We start from the raw sequence: 10065 nt of genomic DNA on the forward strand, positions 1-10065 counted from the left end.
AACCCCGTCTCTACTAAAAATATAAAAATTAGCTGGGCATGGTGGTTCGTGCCTATAGTCCCAGCTACTCGGGAGGCTGAGGCAGGGAATTGCTTGAACCAGGGAAGTGGAGGTTGCAGTGAGCCGAGATCACACCACTGCACTCCAGCCTGAGTGACAGAGCGAGACTTGGTCTCAAAAAAAAAAACCAAAAAAAAAAAAAAAAAAAAAAAACCCAAAAAAAAAGAAAGAACTTTCCTTTCTACATGCTCTAATAGGAGAAGTGGTTGGGTATTTGGTCGGGTTCCTAATCCCCATCATGAAAGCAAATGAGGCCTGGTGGCCTCAGCCTGCTAACAATTTGAGCATGCCTCATTGTAAAATCCGCATTTTAAAATCCTTGCTTTGGCTATAATCTATTTCTCCCTAATCAATACAAATCACCCTTTGAAAAACTCTCAGCCCATTCCTCACTTCAGCCCAAAGCTGTCCTAGCTATTTTTTCACTGTATACAGTTTGGTAATAGGGGTCTATCTCACATCTAAGTTCAAATTTCCATTTCTGGTGAAGAAGTCTTTCAGTTTCTATCTTTGCCACTATCTTTTTTGAGATCTCAAATATATTCAGTCAGAGTATAAGTTCAAGGCACTGACTTTCTTCACTCTTTCAGTCTCTGTTTGATAAACATGGCTTTTAACACCTAGCCTGAGAGTGAGCTTGAACCCCACCTCATCTTCCCACCCACTGTAGTTGATAAGCGGTCATGGCAGTGTCATGATAGTTGCCAACATTTGTACTGGAAAGAGGCCTAGAGGAGTGTCTCCAGTGACTGGCTTCCTGGCCATTTAACGTAAGTTTCACTGTTACTGTGCTTTGGGATGTAGTCTTCAGCTCTGCAATGTCAGAAATTTGGCATTATCCTTGAAGCTGGGTTTGAGGGGACTGATTCACAAACAGAACTCATGAAAGACAAATATGTAAAACCAGAATACTAGTTTATTACTTTACCAAGGAAAACAAATTACTTTCCAGTAAGGCAGGTTAAAGGAATTACCTTTAGAATCAGACCACAATGCCTCTGAGTATAACAACTTCTCTAGGTATTGGGTTAGTCAAATGGGAATGAGTATAATACTTACATTATGGGGTTGTGTGAAGAATGTTGGACAGAATGTAAGCAAGCGGTTTGTTTGGCGTAAAGGAAGTAACTGTTATGATCATTTATATCATTTTACAATATGATGTAGAGAGTAATTGATTAACTCCCAGGTAGCAGAATCGAGCTGGAACCAGGTTTTCTGACATGTGTTTCTACAAGAGCTTTGTGATCATGGATCTCAGCAGTTTGCTTCACACTGAAGGTTCTTTCCACGTCCAGGGCTGCCCGAGATTACCCATCACACTTTGCCTTATATGAAAGTGCAAATCTCACCTTCAGAACTGACCATTCAGCAGTTGTGAAGAAGTAGTTCTGGAATTTTTATCTCTCTTAAGTCATTTTGCTACTAGATATAAAATCTTCTGATACATTGCCATTTTATAGGGCAACATATTTTTTCTTAGTTCAATATTTGTGACTAACACGATGTGTGGCAGTTGTCTAAGTTCATGGATACAGTTTTAGAAATCCCCACCTCTCCCTTCTTTATTGCTTTCCAACTAATCTTATAGACATTTTTTCTTTAAAGTCTGCCTTTTTTTTTTTTTTTTTTTTTTTTTTTGACAAAGTCTCACTCTGTCACCCAGGCTGGAGTGCAGTGGTGTGATCTTGGCTCACTGCAACCTCTGCCTCCTGGGTTCAAGTGATTCTCCTGCCTCAGCTTCCCGAGTAGCTGGAACTACAGTCACACGCCACCATGCCTGGCTGATTTTTTGTATTTATTTATTTATTTATTTATTTTTTGAGAAGGAATTTTGCTCTCGTTGCCCAGGCTGGAGTGTAATGGCGTGATCTCGGCTCATTGCAACCTCCGCCTCCCAGATTCAGGCGACTATCCTGCCTCAGCCCCCTGGTAGCTGGGATTACAGGCCCCTGCCACCACACCTCGTTAATTTTTTGTATTTTTAGTAGAGACGGGGTTTCACCCTGTTGGCCAAGCTGGCCTTGAACTCCTGGCCTCAGGTGATCTGCCTGCCTTGGCCTCCCAAAGTGCTGGCATTACAGGCATGAGCCACCGTGCCTGGCCTAAAGTCTAGCTTTAAAGTCTGACTTCAGCTTTGAGTCTTGCAATAGATGACTTAGGATCTCGAAGGTGGCAGTAGAGAATAGTAGGAAGAAAGCAAGTGAGGATTCAGGAGATATGGTTCTACTCCTAGCTCCAACTATTCTGCACCTTGGGCCAATTGCTTTCTCTCTGTATGGCCAATTTCTTTACTTGTTAATTAGGAAAGATGTTTGCTTTACCCATATGGGAGAAATAAATGAAACACTATAGTGTGTTGAAAACTATAAAGTCAATGCAAATTATTGCAGAATGAGGTAACCCTGGCCTGGTTCTAGCCCTCAGCCACTCAGCCACTACCAAATCTTTACTCTTTCTGAGAGCATAATCACAGTCTCTAACTTTAAAGGGATGATGTGCACTCTACATTACAGCATTTTTGTAAGGTTCAAATGAAGGGGACAAAAGGACCTGAAAGCATTTTGTAAACTGCAGAATACCACATGAATGCAAAGGTGGCATCACAGGACTTTACTGCTTCCTTGCTCTGTGTCCTCAGGCAAATTGGGCACCTGTCAGGTCTCCAGTTCTTTACCTGAGGGCTTATGCAACTTTTAATCACCGCCTATTCAGAAATCTGTTTAAACTGACTATGTATATATATTTTTATGCAACTTTTAATCACTGTCTATTTAGAAATCTGTTTAAACTGACTACGTATGTATATTTTTCTTTTGTAAAAAATTTTAAGGCTTGTCAAGTGTATTTTTAAAAACAATAGTGATACTTCTGACTCTTAAATACCTTTCAAGTGCGTTATGACAGGCTTCTTCTACTCTAATGGCATTTGTTACTAATTGCTTCATGAAATCGTAATCCTTTGTTTATTACTTACAGAAATGATTTCCAGTCAACATTCTTTGACCCTAAAGTAAGTTAAAATTCCTAAAATATTGAACAGATCTTGACCAATTATAATTTGTTTTTTGTTTGTCAGAATGGGAGTGAGCCATGACTTGGATGGACAGGGCTAGGGATGGAGGCTCTGGAAGACGTTCTTTGAAGTATCACTTTCAGCTTACTCTTCTCACCAAAGGCCATCCAGCAGCCCTCTCCTCTTCCCCACAGCACACATTTTGCATTTGTAACCAGAGAAGGGAATGATGACGTGGTAGCATTGTCCTTTGAGTCTCATCTTCTCAAAGGCAGAGGTCACATTTTCTAGTGTTGTACCTAACCTAGTTTTTGTATAGTTAAAAAAAAAAATCAGGCAAGTTGTCAATGTGAAAAATCTTTCAGCCTCGTGTTTGTACACATAGGAGATGAGAAATGTTTTAATGTGAAAGTAAGAATAGTGGCAATTCATCTCCTTCCTGTTCCTAGGTTACAGCTGCTCAGTAAAGTTGGGTTGCATCTCAGGAACAGAGAGCAATTTATTTCTACAGCTGTGTGAAATGGGGCCAGCTTGCATCCATGGAGGCAGAGATGCCCTCAAGTTTTTGGCTTATTTTTAGTTCCCTTATATCAATGTATACACGTGTGATAATATAGTGTAGTGCATCCAACAGCATTTTTTAGGCCCCACATTTGGGATTTCAGATGGCAGCAGCAATTCTTATTTTTTGGTTAAATTTTGTGGAAGTCTAACAAATGGATTCTCTGAGTCATTGAAAGGTATGCTTAAAAACAGGTACTCTGTATAAAACAGCTGGTCAAGTTTTTGGATTAGAACCTTTCAATCAAGTAACATCTTGGGAGACTGTAGGAGCTGTACAGGCCACTTGGTGGTGCTCATGACAGGGCAGCTCTCTTCCAAAGGATATGAATCTTCACAGTTGTAACATTTTAGTTCTGCTTTACTGAACAGAAAGCGGTTCCATTCCAAATTTGATCCTAAATGCGAAACCACAGTGTGCTATAAAACATTGAACATTCCTGCAAAAACAGACAGAGGTGGAGTTTGTTTGCACAGATCCAGAAAAGTCTTCTGTCAACAACCTCTTCTCACAGAGAATCGTACATCTAATGTGTGGCTAAAAGGCATTTGGATATGTCAAGTCCAAGCAAACCGTAACTAGCATTCTAATGACCTTCTATTGTTAGATAAATGATAACATTATAGAATGAAGGTCACAAGGGAAAAGGAACATATTCTCTTCCTCACTCAGTAAATTTATGACAGCAAGGATCCAGAAATCCTAGGGAACACAGGCCAAATACACCTTTTGCATGAGGGGTCTATTTAACAAAATGAAATGAGCACAGCAGGGAAGTTTTTTTAAAAAACTTTGCTTTATTTATAAGTAAACATTGGACACCAAGATTTATATATCATGTATGACCTGTACATACCTTGAGGGCTGTTTACTGTACCTTGTCTGTCTTTATGTTGTTAGTTAAACAGTGAGTCATAAAAATGCCCCAATAACACATTTTCTATCAACTGTCCAGGAAAATCTAGTTCCTTTACCACACAGAAGCAAAAGTGATATTCTTTAAAAGGAAAACCAGATAATGTCCTTAAAAAATGGCTTCCCAATGGTTTATGATGAAATCCAGACTCGATTAGGCTGACATAACATGCCTCTTGCTCATTTCTCTGCCTTCATCTCTCAGAATGCTTCTCTCCATTCTCTGGGCTCCAGGGTCCTGATTTCTTGAAGCTCCTGCAACCTGCCTGGCTTCTTCTGGCTGCAGGATGTAGACACACGCTCCTCACTCTTCCCTGGTTTGCCTTGCCCAGGTCTGTCTCTGAACCATCCTCTTTATCCTCCAGTTTTCAGGTGAAGTGTGTTCTTCTCATAGAAGTCTTTCCCGTTGACCTTATCTTAAGTGGTTCCCTCGTTATTTCTGGACCTTTATTTGTTTTATTCATAGTATTTATCCAGTCATTAAAGTTTGTCCTTTGTTGTTGTTTACTTATTTTTAAAAGGAATTTTATCTGCTTGCATTCAAATTGTGACTCTAAATATTATGAATTAGGGACTCTGAAAATAATGTGACTTCTCTAAAACTCAGTTTTCTCATCTAGAAAGTGAGCTTACTATTTACCTGATAGGGTTGTTTGTCATAAAGAATTAACACACGAAAACAAGCAAAGTGTGTAGAACCTGTCCTAGTACATAATAAAATATCAATGCATATTAACTATTATTAGTGCTATTTTAATCAACACTGCATCTGGGTGGTAGAACATTCCTCCCTTGCTAATTGCACCTTCTTCTCTTTTCCTTCCTTTAGGGAGGGCTTCCCTGACTATGCTTCATAAACTCAGGCCAGGCCCCCTAGTATTCCATTCCCTGTCCCATTGCCCTGCTTAATCTATCTCCACAGTATTTAAAATTTTTTGTATATATTTATCTGTTTTTATTGATGATATCTCTTTCCCACTATAATTTAAGCTCCATGAAAGACCCTATATTTCAAGGGTCCAGTAGAGGCAGATATTATGCACTCAATGAATATCTGTTGCATTAGTAAATAATTGAGAAATCATTGTCATTATCACCATCATCATTTTTCCTCTCTAAAAAGTAAGCAGGGATTGTACCTGCCTACCTTATGTGTACATTCCTGACGTGAATCATAGTTCTTGGCAAAAAGTCCTCTGTCAATATTTGTCAAAGGAATGAATTTTTTCTTTTTTCTTTTTTTTTTTGAGACAGGACTCTTGCCCTGTTGCCCAGGCTGGAGTGAGGTGGCGTGATCTCAGCTCACTGCAACCTCCGCCTCCTGGGTTCAAGCGATTCTCCTGCCTCAGCCTCCCAAGTACCTGGGACTACAGGTGCCTGCCACCATGCCCAGCTGATTTTTGTATTTTTAGTAGAGGTGGGGTTTCACCATATTGGCCAGGCTAGTCTCAAACTCCTGACCTCAAATGATCCACCCACCTCAGCCTCCCAAAGTGCTGGGATTACAGGTGTGAGCCACTGCACCCAGCCTAGGAATGAATTTTTAAAATGTGAAAAAATTGTGTTTTGAGACTTTGCCAAAATCATACACACAGGAAATCTTAGCAATCAACACATTAGTGATTATCACTCTGTATTGATGGTAATTATGGTATTTTGTGGTTAAATCAATTTTATAAAGGACTACATCAATTTTTGAAATCCTGTTACTTAAATTTTATTTTGTTGCTTATCCTTGCAGTCCAATTCGTATACATATAAAGGCATTCCCTTTCTGTCTTACGTACTTCGAATGAGAGATGACACCATGCATATGGTACTTCTATCATGATCCAATCAGATTATGTTTACCAAGGACTTGGTACAATGTCCATACCTCCATCTTTATTTTTTTTCCCCTTAGTTTTTCAAATCTCTCAAATTGATTTGATATAAGTAATAAGTTCAGTCACTAGACATCTGTTGAACATCAAACATTTTCCTTTTCATCTTAAAGATATCTTGGCAAGTAAAATATACTTTTCTCTATCAACATTTTAAGGGATACCGCTAGCACCAAACAGATACCATTTCCTTTTACTCTGCAAAGACTGATGGAAGAATAAGAAGACACTTTCTTTGCCCCCTAGAACCTTCAGATCTATTGGTGGGCATTCAGATACCCACAAAAAGAGAGTTAAACATGTTAAGTGGAACACTGAAGGAGCTGAAGAGTCAAAAGAGGAAGTAGGTGCTAAATAGTTCAGAAAAGGAAGCAGTTCACTGGTTCTATTGACCACAGTTTGCCATTCTTGAACAGGGTTGCCAACGTCTAGTGTTTGTATTTTGTTGTCTGACTCTACAAGTTCCAGAACTTCTTTTATAAATGATGTATGGGCATACCTTGGAGATACTGAAGCTTCAGGTCCAGACCAGTGCAATAAGGAAATATAAAAAGTCAGTCACATGAATGTTTTGGCTTCCCAGTGCATATTGTATACACTATATTGTAGTATACTATGACTTCCTCCACTGAAGTCTTGAACCCCTCAAAGGTCATCCATCAAAGTTAGAATCAACTTCTTTCACACTCTTGTTAATGCTGATATTTTGACCTTCTCCCATGAATCATGAATATTCTTAAAGGTGTGAAAATAAAATAAAATATTGGGATGCCATACTCACTATGCCAAAAGGAAAAGTTAAGCTTAGAAACTGAGTCTCCAAAAAAACTGCCTTTCCTTTTGTTCCTGAACCTGCAAGATAGAAGATCACATATCTTCCCAGGTGGCCTTCCTCAGCCTGACAAGGTAAATTAACAGCTTATCTTCACAGGTATGGAACAAAGACAGGTATAGGACAAAGACATATTTGACAGCTTGGCTTCCTTTACTGTTTATTTTTATGTTGTGTAAAATGCCGACTTACTGATGCATAAGACAAATGTTTAATTGACTGCTCCTCTCCCTCCTCCTTTCACATGTAACATGTGGATTCGGTAAACACTTATCAAAGCCTCACAACAATGTGACCGCTTACCTCACTTTATACCCTCCCTTTTTTTTTCTTTCTTCCTTCCCCTTCTGCCTGCTCTTTCCCCTTTAAATATTGAAACCCTCAAAATCCTCTTTATAAAAAGTGTGAACCACAGATCCTATTGTGATTTTGTGTCTTCTCCCAGGTATGTCCTCAACCTTAGCAAAATAAACTTCTAAATTAATTGAGACCTATCTCAGACACTTTGTTTTACAAAGCCATCTAGCATGCTGAATCCTTTCCAGAAGGTGTTCAATTTACTTTGCCCAGATCCTCAGAGAACTCACTATCTATCGAGCTACAGGCTTACAAAATGTATTTCTTAAATAAAACTTGAAAATCAAATGATTCTCTGACGTATGGGCTACAGATAGGATGTTGTGTTTGCAGGCATGAAAACAACATTAACCTCCTCGTGTATCTCCATTAGAGCTCCTGGATAATCAGGTGCATTGTCAACAAGCAGTAATATTTTGAAAAGAATCATCTTTTTCTGAGTGGTAGCTCTCAACAGTGGATTTGAAATATTCAGTAAACCATGTTGTAAACAGATGTGTTGTCATCCAGGCTTTATTTTTCCATTTGTCGGGCACAGGCCGAGTAGATTCGGTATAATTCCCAAGGACTCTAGGATTTTCAGCAGCACAGATGAGCATTGACTTCAAGTCATCAGCTGCTTTCCCTCCTAATAAGAGAGTTGGCCTGTCCTTTGAGGGTTTGAAGCCAGGCATTGACTTCTCTCTAGCTATGAAAGTCCTAGATGACATCTTTTTCCAATATATGGCTGTTTTGTCTGCACTGAAAAACTGTTGTTTAGTGTAGCCACCTTCATCAATTAACCTATCTAGATATACATAACTCGCTGCAGCTTCTCCATCAGCACTTGCTGTTTCACCTTGCTTTTTTATGTTGTGGAAATGGCTTCCTCTCCTTAAAATCTCATGAACCAACATCTGCTAGCTTCAAACTTTGCTTCTGCAGCTGCCTCATCTCTTCGCCTTCACGGAATTGAAGAGTGTTAGGGCCTTGCTCTAGATTAGGCTTTGGCTTAAGAGAATATTGTGGCTGGTTTGATCTTCTATCCACACCACTCAAACTTTCTGCATATCAGCAATAAGGCTGTTTCACTTTCTTATCATTTGTAGATTCACTGAAGTAGCACTTTTAATCTCTTTGAAGAACTTTTCCTTTGCATTCACAACCTGGCTAATGATGCAAAAGGCCTACCTTTCGGCCTATCTTGGTTTTTGATATGCCTTCCTCACTAAGCTTAATGATTTGTAACTTTTGGTTTAAAGTGAGAGATGTGGGACTCTTCCTTCATTTGAATACTCAGAGGTCATTGTAGGGTTATTAATTGGCCTAATTTCAATGTTGTGGTGGCTTGGGGAATAGGGAGGGCCAAAGAGGGCAGAAAGACAGGGAAGTGGCGGTTCAGTAGAACAGTCAGAACACAAGCAATATTTGTTAAGTTTGCTGTCTTATATGGGTGTAGTTTGTGGTGCCCTAAAACAATTACAATAGTAATATGAAGTATTGATCACAGGTCACCATCACAGTTAATAATAACAATAATAAAAGTTTGAAATATTTTGAGAGTTACCAAAATGTAACACAGGGACACAAAGTGAACACCTGCTGTTGGAAAAATGGCACTGATATCCTTGCTCATGTAGAGTTGCCACGTATCTTCAATTTGTAAGAAAACACAGTAGCTTCAGAGCACAATAAAGCAAAGTGCAATAAAACAAGTTATGCCTGTAGTATTACTTTCTTAACTTGCTCTTTAAATACTTTGAAGAATTAATGCCTTTACTATATTTGTTGCTTATGGCATTTTGATTCTTCAGGCTAGTCAAGATCTTTCACCTGAACTATATCCTCTCTTCCGAATATTCTTTCCCAGCATGATGTTCCTATTTGATTCTCACTGTCAGACATAGCTGATATGGCATAGAAACCTCTTTCCGGTTTTTTTCTACCTTTTACCTTCTCTTTTACCTTCATTCCAAGCCCACTGTTGTAGTCCTAAAGGTGCCTTTCCTTCTCCTTTCCTCATTTGAGTATTTTATTTCTGAATCCCATCCTTTATTTTTTCCTAAAAATCTTGATCTAACTGACGTAACTTATTTTACTCTTACTAGAAAGAAACATCATTAAACCCTGTAACTACTAAGAAAGACAAAATTGATTCCTCTTGGAAGTCAATGCATGAAGAAGGAGAAGAAAAGTTTTTGGTGTTTATTTTTATTCTTCAAAAAAACCCCTTGGATTCTTATAGGAATCTCAGTTTTCTGATTGTGACAACATTTTCCAGATCCTTGATATGTATCTTGCACAAGATTTAGAATTTTTTTTTAAAGAACTAGTCAGTAATATGAAAGAAGCAAACATTTTTTACATAAAATTAAAATATTTTCAAAATTTAACTGTATTATGTATACTTAAGATTTAAATAGTAGTATTAACATTTTTAGGCATAGGTTGAGATAGCAAA

At 38.6% G+C, this 10065-nt stretch overlaps 1 annotated feature.

Moving 5' to 3' along the window:
* Nucleotides 6863-6912: an enhancer, noted in NCBI's record as "active region_25670". NCBI's record gives its function as "activates an Ori minimal core promoter by ATAC-STARR-seq in GM12878 lymphoblastoid cells {active_cell/tissue: GM12878}" and the evidence as "EXISTENCE:reporter gene assay evidence [ECO:0000049][PMID:35858748]".

Source organism: Homo sapiens, chromosome 7, assembly GCF_000001405.40.
Source record: "Homo sapiens chromosome 7, GRCh38.p14 Primary Assembly".
NCBI lineage: Eukaryota > Metazoa > Chordata > Mammalia > Primates > Hominidae > Homo > Homo sapiens.